The 16,055-nt window shown below is 37.1% G+C and overlaps 1 long non-coding RNA gene and 1 pseudogene across 1 annotated transcript in view, besides 1 other annotated feature; one reads left to right on the forward strand and one right to left on the reverse strand.

Annotated features, from left to right (window-relative positions):
* The window catches only part of LINC01572 (long intergenic non-protein coding RNA 1572), a 384,069-nt gene that overhangs the window by 83,611 nt on the left and 284,403 nt on the right, over nucleotides 1-16,055 (reverse strand). The window contains exon 8 of the long non-coding RNA NR_126330.2: nucleotides 4,141-4,210. This is a non-coding gene — a long non-coding RNA (long intergenic non-protein coding RNA 1572). The remainder of the gene's footprint in view (nucleotides 1-4,140; nucleotides 4,211-16,055) is intronic.
* Nucleotides 6,122-9,180: an enhancer, noted in NCBI's record as "VISTA enhancer hs108". NCBI's record gives its function as "enhancer in: limb[4/4]" and the evidence as "EXISTENCE:transgenic organism evidence [ECO:0001131][PMID:17130149]".
* On the forward strand, nucleotides 12,192-12,307 carry LOC124903812 (uncharacterized; annotated as a pseudogene).

The following is a 16,055-nucleotide window of genomic DNA, read 5'->3' on the forward strand; positions in this document are numbered from 1 at the left end:
TGGTAATCTCCAAAAAAAGCTTGGAGGAAGTATTGGAGTTAGCCACCCCACTATCTGAGGGAAGAGGATTCAAGGTAGAGAAAACAGCAAGTCAAAGTATATAAGGGTGGACAGAGAGCTAGTGTGTACTAGCAAGGTGGCTAATGTGGCAAGACAGGAGTAAGCAAGGGGGAAAATGGAACAGACAGGTAATGGGTGTATGAGAGTGTACTTGTTTCCTCAGGTTCTTGATAATACTGAGAATTATCTATCTAAAATACTGGCCAATCTACTGACAAATCTCACTCCTTTTTTTCAACTTCCTTTCTGTCTGATTACTAATGAGATGAAGAATATTTTCACATGAGTATTAACCGTTTTATTTCTTATTTAATATTATTCTGTATTTGTCTCTCTATATATTTTTTATCATTTTTGATTGAATTTTTCCCTACTGATTTTTAGGACCTCTTTACGTGTTGTGGTTATTAACCCTTTTTCAGTTACACACACTGCAAATATCTTCTCCCACTTTATGTTACCATTTGTGAAATCCAATGTATACATTTCTTCACTTATGACTTCTGAGTATTGTTTTTAGCTACTATAAAATAGAGAAATATTCCTCTCTTCTCTTCCGATAGTTTTGTAAATTTTTTGTCTTTAGGTTTAGCTCTGTTATCAATTTGGAATTTATATTTGTGAACATTATAGTTAGGGTCTAACCATATACATAATATTTGCATATATATCATTTTTTACTCATTTTGCTGATTTCAAATACATCGCTTACTATATTAAAATTTTATATAAATGTTTCTGAATCATCTGTTCCATTTTTCTATTTTGCTATTCATACCATGCTGTTTCAATTATTAAAGTTTTATAAGGTATTTATATATCTGGTATGGATCACCTTTCCTCATTATCTTTTAAAAAGTATTTCTGGATATCCTATTTCAGATGAATCTGGGAATTAGATTATCAGGTTCCATTTTACTGGGACTCTGTTTAAATGTATAGATTAAGTTGAGGAGAATTAATACCTGTGAAATATTGAGTGTTTCCATCTAGGGAATAGATAGAGTATCTTTCCATGTATTTAGATTTCCTTTTATAACTTTTGATAAATTTTTATAGTCTTGCATAATTCTTGTTAGGTTTATTCTTTGCCATTTAATGCTTTTTGTTGCTGTTTATGAATGGGCTGTATTACATTTTATTTTCTACTGTCATTACCTTTAGTGGACAAATTCAGCAAAAGAATCCCTGCAGTAATTATAAGGGTAGTTTTACTCTGATTGTAGTCACTTAATAATCTATTGCTAGTAATAGAGCATCTGAATTGATTCTTTCATCAGAACGATCTCTAGGATATGACAAATCAAAGTGACTACCTTTAGCCTTTGCTTTGGGACTTTTTTTTTTACTTGGAGAGGGGGCAATTAGGCCAACCCCTGAGGCTCACATATGTTCAATCATCCTGGAATCTGAGAAGAACAAGGAAACCTCTGATATTTTATTTTGACTTCCTTTTGTTTCGAGCCTTTATTTTATACAACTAAAGATTTTTAAATTATGCAACATTTATACACATAGAAAAACACATAAAATAATTTGATCTAATTAAATAGCTGGGCCTTTTAATATAATCCAGGTTTAACAGCTAGCTGTTAATTGTTTGCCACAGTTGATTCGGAACACTTTGCTATTGTTTTTGTTAGCTTTAAGGAAATAAAACATTACAAATAAAGCTAAGATGCCCCTACCCCACCCCGTTCCCTTCCCATTCCCTCTGATATTGGTGTTTCATTCTCATGAACATTTTCTATATTTTTTGTGTACGTTTAAGTCATATTTATGAATCTGTATGTTTTACATCTATACAGTTGGTATTACAATGCCTGTAGCCTTTTGTAACTTGATACTGTGGTCTGTTGAAATTCATCTTTGTTGACAAGGACACTCCCTTGAAATTATTCTTGATAACTTTGTTTATAGCTAACTTGTCAAACTTAGCCAGCCTCATCACATGGCTATACCTGGTGGCCAGGGAAACTGAGAAATGTAATTTTTATTCCACGTGGCCAGGAGCCTGGCTTTAAAAACAGGATTCATCATATAACTGAGGAAGAACAGGGAAACAGATAGTGGAGTACAGCTAGCCATCTCTGCCAAATACTTTCAATTATAATGTTTATTGTAGATTTCTAGCATAAACCTTTATTGGATAAAAGTGTTTGTTTTTTCCTTTTCTCAGTTTACTAAAGGATTTTAAAAACTGCATTCAGTTAGAAACAAGTGCTATCAAACTGTTCCTTGGCATCTTTTAAGAAGACGGTCTGGTTTTCTACTTTAATCTGGCAATGTAATATATTAAAATAATAGATTTCCTAATGTTAAACTATCCTTGCATTCCAGAAATAAATTTTAATCATTCAAGATCTTAAATCTCATATCAGCTAGGAACACATTCTTTTCTTTCAAAACAGCACTTAATTTGTTAATATTTAGAATTTAAACATGTTCATAAATTGGCTTATTCTGTTATTATTTGTATGAATTATAAACAAGATTATGATAGCCATATACAGCCAATGGGGAAGGTTTCTATCTTTCTCTATTCTGGAAAATTTATATAACCTAGAAATTATCTCTTTAAGTTTTAAAATAGTTTGCCCATAATACCATCTAGTCTCAAGGCTTTTTAAGGATTACATCTTTGACTATTTAAAACATTTCTTCTATGTTAGTATTCTGCTTCTTGAGTCAATGTTTATATTTACATTTTCTAAAAAAATCAACCTTTTACTTTAGATTTCCAAATTTGTTGGCATTAATTCATACTTAGCTTTTTTTTACACTTGGAAAAAACTCTGTGTTCATATTTATGTCTGCTGCCTTAAGTTGTTTATTAGTGACTCTGTTTTCCTTTGTCAGAATTGCCAGAATTTTCACCATTTAGGTTGGACTTTTAAAGAACTAGCTAATTAGAACTAGCTAATAGTCATTAGCTAGTTCTTTCAGGCTTTTTGTTGGCTATCAGTTCTTTCTATTAGCTATTCTAATGGCTATTAGCTAGTTCTTTCAGGTTTTTTGTTTACTTCACTATTTTCTGCTACTTTCTAAATTATCTCCACCCAAATTGTGTTTATTTTGTTTTTCTTCAAACTTCTTGCATTACGTGTTTAGGTCATTATTGCAGACATGATTTATTAGCTACCCATTTCTGACCCTCTTCTCCCTTGCCCACTTCCAACCACAGAGGTGGAAATAGCTAGATACTCCATTTCCCAGATATTCTTGGAGTTAGGTATGGTCATGTGTTCCAGATATAAGAGGAGGTGTTCTAGAGGCATATGAGAAAAGATTTTTTTTTTTTTTTTTTTTTTTTTACTGTCACTAATGCAGAAAAACACAAGAACATGATTTCTCTCTAGCCAGGGGAAGGAAAAAGTATGGAGAAGGCACACCTGATTTCTCAAAAGACCAGCCCAGAAGTGGTACACATCCTGCCAACTCACACTGGAGAAAAACTACTCATGTGGTTGTAATTAACTGGGAAGGAGGCTGGGAAATGTAACTAGCCATGTCATTGGCTATAATCCTTTTGCTGTGAAAGAAAAGAAAAGATCTGAAAGCTTTTTAGCATATTACTTGCAACTCTTCTCACATTCAGTGATACTGCAGTTAAGAACTTAAGTTACTCATGAAAGCACAGGCTTGGAAGTTGTTCTATAATCCATTAGGGGTTTATAGGAAAAAACTGATTTTGAAAATATTCATCCAAATATTAGGTGACATCTGCCACCTGCAATCTTACCTGACAAAATGCTAAAATTTGAGCTACAAAAACTAGTCTTGGGTAAATAGGGACAGAAAGTCTGAACAATCAACTTGAAGTAATAATGCTATCTATATTTCTGTAAGGGAAGATAATCACACACACATACTGGCATATAACTGAGTAGGTTTTCAGGTCACTGTGAAACACTATATAATTCAAACCAAATTAATACAGTCACAGGTGGCTTTGTCAGTGTCATACAATTGTACCAACTGTATCCATTAGCACTAGCAAAAAATGACAAGTGTATGTACAAGAAGCAATATTCTGCTATGCATTCAGAAATATTAAAATAATAGAAAAAGGAATACTACCTTTTAACTTGAGATGTCAGCATCATTGTCTTCATTAAATATTTTCCAAATCCATCAGGTGCTTTAAAATCTGTTATAAACAAAAGAAGGCATAGTCTTTTTTCTCAAGGGGCTTTCCGATTAAGACAGAGAGTAACATGGACATATTTATAGTAAATAAAATATGGACTGTGATAACCAGTATGTGTTTAAGTATTTTTCCCTTCTCTGTTTTATTATTGTTAGCCCGTGAGTGGGTTGAGTGGAAAGAGTGGCTGGATTCATCAGAATGAAAGAAATATAAGAATATACACAGGCATCATGAAAAGGAGGACAGAACGGAGATTTAGTAGAGACAGCATTATAAGAAAGATGATAGCTGGGCGTGGTGGTGTGTGCCTGTAGTCCCAGCTACTCAGGAGGCTGAGGCAGGAGAATTGCTTGAACCCAGGAGCCAGAAGTTGCAGTGAGCCGAGACTGCGCCATTGCACTCCAGCCTGGGTGACAGAGTGAGACTCTGTCTCAAAAAACAAACAAACAAACAAACAAACAAACAAACAAAACAAAAAAGATGATTGTCATAGTATGCTTCGCTGAAAGGAGCCTTGTATAGTGAAACCCTTCATCTTGTAGACGAGGAAAAGGGCCAGAGAGGTACAGTGACATGCTGATGGTTAACCAGAGTTTGTAGCAGAGCCAGGACTAGAACTAGCTCTTCTAATTCTGCTCTGATGTCTGTTTTACTGTCACACATGGCTTATCCTAGCTGTTTCCAAGAAGCAACTGGTAATTCCCCACTTATTCACACCAGCTTTACAAGACCCCTGACACCCTACTCTAGCTTTACAAAAGAAATACATTAGCCATCATCTAGGGACAATACCCAGTGCTTTGAGGGTTCTCCCCTCACAGTCTTACTCAAAGATCCATCTCTGTCTTTCTTTTTTAAAACGCTCTTGGCAGAGTTCAGGCTCCCTTCTTTGCTGGAGGCTTTGAGGATAACTCACAGTAGGGCTGGCTTAAAACCTTGTCTCTCTTGATATCATTTCTATGGAGGAAAAAAACCACATTCCCAGTTTCAGATAATCAAATTAACCTTTTAGCAAAAAGCCGAATGCTGGGGAACTTCCTGTGAATTTATCTCAATATGTATTTTTTGCTGTTCTGAAGAGAAATTACATGCTGCACAAATCTGAAACTCTGACCTATTATATACAGAATCAATTATAATATATACAACTCTCCATAGGACCTGGTGAAAACTGAACTCTTCCATCACTATAGCAGACCTCACTCATAATTCCACTCCAAATTAAAGAGAATGGAGCAAAGTTTCTCATCTGGAAAATGTGCAGAGTATAGTATACGAGAAAAGAATGTTTACAATAAAAGAGGCACTGGTAACAGTGTCCTGATGCTACAGTTCTTTGCTGAAATGTAATTTTTGTTCAGGTGGCTCCTCTAAAAGAAAATGGAGAACTTGGATACCAAGCTTAAGCACACAAAAGAAATTCACATGAGCCCTATACCAAACGTAGCACTTTAAAACATCATCTCTGGGCATTTTCACCAGAATATTCCATGTTCAAAAATATTTTTGAAATGTCTGCAGGTGCACAACATCCTGCTATGATGAATATAGAAAAGTAGAATAATAGCAATATAGGGACAATTGGGATGCAGAGGTTGTTAAGTGTTGTAGGAATTCAGAATTTAAAAAAAAAGAAACTATAGAATAAGAAAGGCTTCATGAAGAAAGTACAACTTAGGCCAAGGAAGGATAGGTTAAATTTGTGTGTATGGAGAGGAGTGAGAAGCAGAGTTGAAACTCAGTTGGATGTTTTGGTACAGTGGCACTGGCTGCTGTGGGGAGCATCTGTTCTGTGCAAGTGGTGCATTCATTCTAAATGGCTGCTGTACGTGTTCTGAAAATCACCCCAGGGGGCATTCCTGGACACAGGTTTAGAGTAGCTACTGGGAAGTCAGGGGGCCCTTCAACTTGTGCAGGCCATCAAAAAGTAACAATCAAATTGATCAGAAATATTTACATCTAATTGTTGTTGCACTTCAGATAAGTCACATATTCTGTGCACACATTTATTCTGAGATTATACAACTACTGTCTCAGTCATATTGACATCAGTCTTAAACTTCATTATAGCATAGCCATAAGTATCAAACTGAGAAAACCCACTCAATGGCTATAGATGATGATGATTATTCTTTACCAGAATGAGAATTGTACTGTCACTTATAACACTCTGATCCAATTTCAATCCCTTCTCCTACAAACTTTAAAGCAATCTCATCCAGAAATAGCAGAGCTGGTCAGTCTTCTCTAGCAGGTACTTCTGCCGTTTCACCTTTTGAGGTAAGTAGCCTCAGGGACATGGAACCAATTTTCAACAGTGATTTGCTACAATATTGAATACACATCTCAATACCCTCATAGATAGAAGAGGAGGGTGTGATTCATCAACACTTTCCTTTAGGTCAGCAAACACTCAAGGAACAATTAGACTGTTTACAAAGCCTTGGTACCTGGCATAGTGCAAAGTCAATTTTAAAAATATATTGAATATGTGAGCTTTTCCAAATTGTCATCAACTGTTATGACAAGCTATTAAAGAAGCTATTGTAGAGGACTGAAGCAGCAGCTGATTTCAAAACAGTAAATCAAGTCTTGGTCAAGAGCACTGATGAAAAGAGAACAGGATTCTTGCTGTGTTTATGAGTGGCTCAAGACAGCTTTAATACACATCAATCACAGGTAGGCAGTGTGCTCTGGTCTGTGCCCCCGACTCTCAGCGTGACCTTTTGTGAGTCACCAGACGGCTTTCAGGCTCGGTTACTCAGCTGAAAACAAAGCTAAGGAGCAGAAACCTCAATGAAAAACAGGCACTGCATCGCTAATGAGATTTCCTGGGGAAATAAATTCCTCACCTCTACAACCCCCTCTCCCGACAGCCCCCACTCTAGACTGCCACGTCCCACACATTCAAGAGAAGGTGAACAAAGTGAAGTGTTTGAGGCATGTGGTTGTGCTATCCTCCCAGCTTCAGAAGCATTTATCAGTAAGAATTCACTGTCTCACTGAAAATAGTAAAGCCACGGAAAAAGAAATGGTCACACTATCTTGCTTTAGAAACTAGGGCACTAGCTTTGGGTTCAAAACCTCTCAATCTGCTATGGTTTGTTTAGAGACTTGGGAGAGGTGGCCAATGAATCTCTCCCCCCCTTCAATTGGTTCTAAACAGTTTACAGCTGTATAACCAGTACTTTGAAATATTTCCGCTCCCTCTAGGCAAAAGCATTTGTTATTGTGAAACTTTCTGCTAAAATCATAAGATCAGAGTTGCACGAAAGTGTAACAGCTTCTTAGGAGGGTGATAAAATGGGTCTGGGGATTGTGGCCTGGATTAGGAAATGCCACCAATTTCTTCAACTTCCATAGCTTCATGGTGCAGGCGGCTACATGCGGAAGAAGGAAGCTCTGAAGGAAGTGGCCGACAGAACCTATGGCCCTGGAAAATGAGGCAGCACTTCTTTTTGCTTTTAAAATTTTTGGCCCCTTGGGGGTTGCACTAACCCCCTAGGCCTCTATCTGGCACAGAGGGGTCTCCTTTCTGAGGCTAGGCCCGTTGGAAAGGTTCCACATGACTGAACCCCACTGAATCAGTCAGTCAATTTAGTGGCTCATAAGAAAAGCTGACGATATCATGGCTCCAAGGCAGGCTGCCACCCCAGAGCCTCAATTGTAACTAATGCGGGTTTAAAAGGGAGATCAGAAAATATCATGCAGATAAAATACAGAGATAGAAGGAAAGACCATAACCTCAATCGGCAAAATGTGATAGCTTTGTCAAAATAAAAGCCAAAGCTAAACTCTCCTGCTGCTGCACACCTCCCAGCTCGCGGGAACTGTTCACGCAGAGAGGCATTTTCTATTAGAGCAAACTCGGAAGGCAGCAGGGAGAAACTCAGCCATAATATCTGCACAACAGCCCCTCCATGCAAACACCATTCCAGTAATGGGAAATTTTAATGATGTAAAGCAGCAAGGTCACACGATATGTCCAGGCAGCCCTTGGAAAGACACTGCCTCGGCAGATATTACAGAGGAGAGCTCAGAATTGCTCTTGGTTCATTAGGCTTTGCCTGAAGGTTTTTTCTTCCACTATTAACTACAAACAAGGCTGAGGTTCTTATTACTCAGTTCCTTGTATGCAATGCAAAGAGGTGAAGGGCAGGGTTTGTAAATATGGAAAGGCAGACAGCTTAGACGTGTTTTTACAATACTTGAAATATTCTGAGTCACCTTAAATGTGAAAATTGCAAAAGCCTTATCAATGTTGCAGTATTTTTTTCCTAGCAGAACTTTTTATCTACTCGTGTACAGATAAAGGTACTATATGCACATAAATATATACACATGGGGTGGATAGATTCCCTCCCCTCCATACAGCACCACCACATCTTCTTACGGTTTGCCTCCTTCTCCCAGCTTTATGACCCCATTGAGATGGCTCTTACTGTTTTCTTCCTCGTTACATTTTGATATTTCACAGCATGGCCTGGATTTCACTCCCATCTCCCCACTCCACATTATTAATGAATTGGAAAGCAGACATCATTAGTTTTCGGAGACCATTTCTTTTAAAATTTACAGACCCCTTCATCTGAATCCCCAGAGACAGTCTGCTGTTCTCATCTTAGAATCTTATTAGCATCATATCTTCTATATCCTGCCATGCAAACTGCATGGCTATGCACTTTCTAGCACTTGACCCTTTTGCGGACAGAATTAATTTACTCTTTGAAGATGCAGCAGCATGCTGTTGTGCTTGTTAAAGAAAGAAAAGCCAAGCAAGGATATGGCAAAGCAAGCAAAGAAATTCTCAGTTTAAAAGCAAGCTCTTGTAAGGCAAGTTAGGTGAAGACTGGGCAGCAGAAACAAATAGCCAGTAACTATTGATGGAAATAGGCAAATTAGCGGATTAGCAGGAATCGTTGGGAATTTCTGCATCCAACCACTAATGAGCATTGGGACAAGCTCCTGATATGGACTAGATTGCAGGGCTTACTTTGTACTAGAGCCTTTTGTTCTTAGAAGGCTTAGAAGACAATTCAAACAACTAATTCTGATTTCATCAACTACATGATCTATTTCCTGAAATGTTTCAGACTCATTTACTCACCACTCACTGTGTGCCAGGTAGTGTTCTAGATGAAGGAGACACGGCAGTGAGTAGGACAACGTCCCTTCATTCACAAAGCTTTCTTTCTAGTGAATAATTTAAAAAATAAAAAATAAAAAGTAAACAGTTAATTAAAAATAGAACTTCAGGTAGTTATAAGTGCTATGAAGGAAAATTGAGCCATGTAAAAGAGTAGAGATTAATAAAGGGAATTATTTGAAACAGGGTGATCTATTACTTAGGAACTGACATTCAAACTGGGGCATTAATGATGTAAAATAGCAAGCCCTATGAAGATCTGGGGGAATGAATGTTTCACATAGAATGTAAAGGCTTTGAGACTAGAACAAGTTTGGCATATTAAAAAATTTTAAATACAGCCAATGTCGCTGGAGTAAAGTAACATGGGAGAGAGTGGTGGGAGAAACAGGCAGTACCCCAGCACCCAAGAGAAGTAGATACTTAAAGGCCATGATAAGGAGTGTGAATTTTATTCTAGCCATGATGAAAGCAATCAAAGGGTACCTTACAATCATGCCTAAAGGGTACCTTACAATAAGACTAAACTGAAGGGTGCGGATGGAGTAGCAAAAAGAAAGCAAGAAAACCACATAGGAAGTTACCACAGAAATCTGAGCAAGAGACGATTATGGATTATGGTCCCTTAGACTAAAGTGGCAACAGTGGAGGTGGTAAGAAGTAGAGGGATTCAGGACATATTTTGAAGATAGAGCTTTGAGTCTGTAGAGGAATCGGATGAGAGTGAGTAGTAAGCCTTTAACTGAATGGCAGAAGACAGAAGGGGGAGCAAACTGAAAATGAAATAAAAAGCTTCAGTTTAACCAGGTTAAATTTGAGATGACCATTAAACATCCAAGGGTAGATAAAGTGAGGCTCACAGGAAGTCTGGAATGAAGATAAACGTACATTTTGTTATCATAAGCTTATAGATACCATTTCAAGCCATGTAACTGGATGGTATCACTGTAAGAGTGAGTTTAGACAGAGAAAAGGCCTAAGGATGGCTTTGGGGTACTCCAAAAAGTAGAGGCCAGGAAGAGGAAAAGGAGGCATCAAAGGAGACAGAAAAGGAGTGACCTGTGTTACAGGAGAATAACCGGAAACTACCAAAAACAACAAAAACAGAGATTTGAAAAAGGAGGGAGTAATGAGCTGTATAAAATGCCACCCAAAGTTTGAGTAAAATGAGAACAGAGAATTGGTTATTTGATTTGGCTGGATGAAAGTCATTGGCCACCTTGACCACAGAGTTCCATTGGAGTAACAAGAACAAAAGCTTGATTGGAGGACAAAGTGGGAAATGGTGGTGAAGAAAATGGAGTCAGCAAGTATAGACAACTCTATTGATGAGTTAGAAAGGAGACCAGAGAAATGGGGTGTTAGTTGGAGGATTTTATTTAGATAAAGGCTTTGTTTATGTTGGGAGCAACCATAGCATGTTTGTGTGCCATTAAGAAAATTTTATAATAGAAAAGGAAAAGGATGATGTGTAAGAGAGCATACAATTGCAGAGACCAAGGCTTTGAGGAAGAGATGGAATCCAATTCCCAAGCCAACGCACTGGCCTTAGGAGTAGGGAGATGCCATTCAGTGTAGTTGGAGGGAAGGCAGAGATGATAGATGGTAGATTTGGTTGTGGGAGGAATAGGTTCCCTTTTGATGGTTTCTAATTTCTCAGTGAAATAAGACATGAAGTTATCAACTAAGACTGAGTAATACCAAGGATGATTTAAGATTTGTAGTAAAAATTTTAAATGAGACCAGTCAGTATGATCGTACGTTTTCCTTAACCACATTTAGCTGTTCAGGTAAGGATGACAGTAGGTGAGATGTTGGGTTTATCAGCTTTAGGGTTACCAGCAAGTATAAGGGAAAGAGGCGCAAGGGGATATACATCAGGTTAATTATAGTCATGGACCATGGAATTCATTATTGGTGACATGAGAAATGATGATATGAGGAAGGAAATATGAAGTTGAATCAGCTGATGGGTAGGTACAATGTGGCTGAAGAATTGTTGGCAAATGAATTCTGAACTTTGAGTGAGCTAGAAACATTTTTAAATGGGATTCTTAAATCTAGATTTGGATGTGGTGTGGTGGGTACCTGAGAAGGGATAGAGGAAAAGATGAGTGGAAGTAAGGAGGTAAAAGAATCAGGCAGATGCTGAAGTCACCAAGAATGTTGAGAGGTGTGATGGTGAAGAAGAATATGATCGATCAAATGCTGACTACATAAATTGCTCAACCAGAAGACTGAACAAATGACCACAACAAAGGAGACATAGCAGGTACCATAATCTATTGGCATCTGATTCAAAGGAATGGGTTTTTGAGAGAAGAAGGAGGAGAAAGGGCCTGAACAGGGCAGTGAGGCAGAAGGAAGGCATCTATCCCACATCAGATCCTGAAGATATGTGAGAAGAGGCAGCCACCACTTTTAACAGAGCAGAAGGAGAAGCAGGGTGCTAAGGGATAACCAGGTTTGGGTTAGAACAAGAAGTTGAAAGGAACATTTTTGAGATGAGATTAATAATAGAGGAGTTTTGGGTTTTTTTTCTAATGACAGACCATGAGTTCCAGAGAACACAGGAAAAGGATTTGGGAGAATAAGAAGAGATGAGAAACTGGGTCAGATTTGGAGATGTACAGAACCACATAGGGATAAGCACCGAGGTCTGATGATGACCTTAGAGCTGCACTGTCCAATATGATAGTCACTAGCAAATATGTGCCTATTGAGCCCTTTAAATGTATCTGGCCCAAATTAAGATGTACTCTAAGTATAAAACATATATTGGATTTTGAAGGCAGTACAAAAAAGAATGTAAAGTTTCTTATTAATAATTTTTCAGTGCTTGCTTCAGCAGCACATATGCTAAAATTGGCACAACACAGAGAAGATTAGCATGATTAGCATGGCCCCCGTGCAAGGATGACACACAAATTTGTGAAGAATTCCATATTTTTTGCTGTTATTAAAAAGTCAAAAAATAACAGATGATGGTAAGGTTATGGAGAAAAAGGAATGCTTTTACACTGTTGGTAGGAGTGTAAATTAGTTCAACCATTGTGGAAGACAGTGTGGTGATTCTTCAAAGACCTAAAGACTACTGTTTGATCCAGCAATCCCATTACTGGGTATACGCCCAAAGGATTATAAATTGTTCTATTATAAAGACTTATGAACGTGTATGTTCATTGCAGCACTATTCACAGTAGCAAAGACATGGAATCAACTCAAATGCCCATCAATGATAGACTGGATAAAGAAAATATGGTACATAGACACCTGGAATACTCTGCAGTAACAAAAAAAGAATGACACCATGTCCTTTGCAGGGTTGTGGATGGAGCTAGAGGCCATTATCCCTAGCAAACTAATGCAGGAACAGAAAACCAAAATACCACATGTTCTCATATATACGTGGGTGCTAAATGATGAGAACACACAGACACATAGAGGGGAACAACACACGCTGGGACCTATTGGAGGGTAGAGGGTGGGAGGAGGGAGAGAAGCAGGAAAAATAACTAATGGGTACTAGGCTTAATACCTGGGTGATGAAATCATCTGTACAACCAACCTCCATGACACAAGTTGACCTATGTAACAAACCTGCACATCCTGTACATGTACCCTTGAACTTAAAATAGAAGTTAAAAATAAATAATTTTTATATTAATTAATTGTTTAATGTTTTTGATATTTTGGCTTAAAGAAATGTTACTAAAATTGATTTCACTTTTTAAAAATTATTTTAAATGTGGCTACTAGAAAATTTTAAATTACATTTCTACTGGACAGTGCTGCCTTTCTAGAAGCTTTTATTTCTGGTGGTGACCTAACAGGGATGTTTGGCAAGTTTGGGATTAGACCTGATAGATTTTTAGAGGAGGGTAGGCCATCAATTCCAGTTATGGTCATCTTCTTTGGAGTGGTCTTTTCAATCCTTGCTTCTTCAGTATGGTTCTTAGACTAGTAGCATTGGGAGCTTCTTAAATATGCAAAATCTCAGGTTCCATCCTTTACCTACAGAACCAGAATATGCATTTTAACAAGATTCCCAGTTGAGTATTATGCACAGTAAACATTGAGAAGCATTGCTTGGGGGCATTTTCAAGTGGTAAGGCTGATGAAGATGAGGTCAGGGAAGGGAAAGGGTACCAGAAACACCTTGCTGGGTGAGAAGTGGTCTTACCAGTGGGTAAGTTCCAGTCCGTAGGAGAAGCATTCAAATCTGGGGGAGCAATAAAGTGTTTAGAGCTGTACTCTCTAATATGGTAGCCATTGGTCACATGTGGCTATTTAACATTGGAAATGTGGCTGGTGTGACTTGAGATGTGCTGTAGGGGTAAGATGCACATCAGGTTTTAAAGACTTACTATGAATAAGAGAAAGTAAAATATTTCATTAATAAATTTACAATGTTGACAACATGTTGATATAATATTTGGAATATATTGAGTTAAATAAAATATATTGTTAAAATGAATTTCACCTTTTTTTAAAGGTAGCTATTAGAAAATTTTAAAATTTGTATGTGGCTTCCATTACATTTCTATTCGAGAACACTTCTCTAGATCATACTGGAAGAGTCAAGCCTCCAAGACTCTCCCATACAGATAGACTGTATAGCAGGGGTTGGCAAACAATGGCCACTACCTATTTGTTTAAATAAAGTTATACCAGAACACAGCCAGGTTTATTATTTCACATCATCTGTGACTACTTTCATGCTATAACAACAGATTTGAGTAGCTGTGACAGAGAATGTATGGCCCACAAAGCCTAAAATTTTTATTATCTAGCTTTTTACAGAGAAAGTTTGCTGAACCTTGCCATAGAGGGAAGATGAAGAGGCCCCATTGTTTTCTAATTCAGGATGGTTCAGGATTCACTTTCAGATTGCATATAAAGCCTTTGTTTACAGAAATGTGTGACTATATCTGAAAAATATTCTCACAGTAGTTGAAAATCAGGATTAGAATCCTTTACCTTTTATAATTGTGTATTTAATTGCACTATTCTTTTATATTATTGAAAGCATAATTCTGTTCCCATTTAAAATGCTTTTAATAGGGAATACTCTTCAGAATCTATGAGGCTTCATTTATTAATTTGGATTCTAATTGCAGCCAGATACTATTAAGCTTTTAATCATTTTAATTGATTTATTTTTCTTTTATTCTCCTATTGCACATTGAGTAATTACTTAGTAATATGGTACCAAATGCTAAGATGCATAGCAACTTTGAATATGATGAAACATTCAAATTAATTTTTTGACTAGTAATTATGTGCCCCTTTATAAAATGGAAAGGAATAAACTTATTAAGATTATTATTGCTTATCATTATTGTTCTTCTATCTCCATTTCTGCTATACTTCTCTAGCTCAGGCCTTTGGTAACTCTTGTGTTTTATACTAACATACTCCCCAGTTGGGTTTCCCTTTCTTAAATTTATTTTCCTCTGTAACCAATTCTCCTCGCCATTTCTAGGCTGGTATTTTTAAAACACTACTTTAATATTCAAACTTCTCTGATAAAAAATCCTCAAGACCTACAGAATTTTAAAACCCTTCTGTCAAGTTCATAAACTGACCTTAGACAATCTTGTAATATTATTTCCCATTAATAATCTCCATTCTTTTGCATCTCCATACTGCCATAGATACAGATCTTAATTTCTCAGACTGGTTCTCTCTTTTACATTCTTCCAGAATAGATTTTGTTAAGGTTATTGTCTTTAGTCCAGACTATAACAATCACTTATAACAAATTTCACAGTTATCTCTATTCTCTTGCTACTTTAATGCAGAAACCATACAGCTGCTATAGAATTTTCCTAAATCATAAACCTAGCTAGGTCATTACTCTGCCTAAAGTTCTTCAACAGTAACTCATTGCCCTACAGTTATGTTTCTTAATCTTTCTCTTTTTTTGTAGATCTCTTTGAGATTCTGAGGGCAGCCATAAAATGCATATAAGAATGAACGCACATAGTTTTTACATCTAGGATGTAAAAAGTCACGGGTGGCCTTTGCCCTGTGGTAACAAAACAAACAAAATAAAAATCACACGACTGTAGGGGACTATTAAAGACTGGTGGGTGCAAAGTAGTTTTGATGAACTCATTTCTAGAAAAAGTAACCCTTTGAAGGTAAGCAGAAAGAAAAAAACCTATAAAAGATGAAAAGATTTTTTGGAGTCAAAAGGTAATCAGTCAAGCTAGTAGCAATAGTGAGGGTTGACGGGGGCAGATTGAAGTCTGAAGGAGCCCCATAGATACCAATAATTTACTTGGCATAATAATCCTTTCTCTACCCCAAATTTTGCTGAGAAAGCAACAGTGAAGGCAGGCTTAAAAGAGTGAAGAATTTGAATAATCTTTTACATTCTTAGGGTGCCTGGAACCTAGTGCCATAGAGCTCTAGTGAAGCTAAATACAAAGAATGGAAAATAGCTGAAATTACAGGCCAACCTCCTCAAAGCTCAAATACTGATAAAATAAGAGGGATTTGTTTCTCAGTGGAGGCACCCTGGGAGATTAAGGACTGAGCTATCAGAGGTGAGATTAGTTTTTATTAAGGCTGTAGCTCAGTCACAGATTAACTTGACCCGTCAAATAGTTTAAATTCTATCACCTCTCATTTTAGATGCCAGACATAAGAAACAGTTTACCCTTTTGTGAGGAAAACTCAAACAAAACAAAA

This window comes from Homo sapiens, chromosome 16 (genome assembly GCF_000001405.40).
Source record: "Homo sapiens chromosome 16, GRCh38.p14 Primary Assembly".
Taxonomy (NCBI): Eukaryota; Metazoa; Chordata; class Mammalia; order Primates; family Hominidae; genus Homo; species Homo sapiens.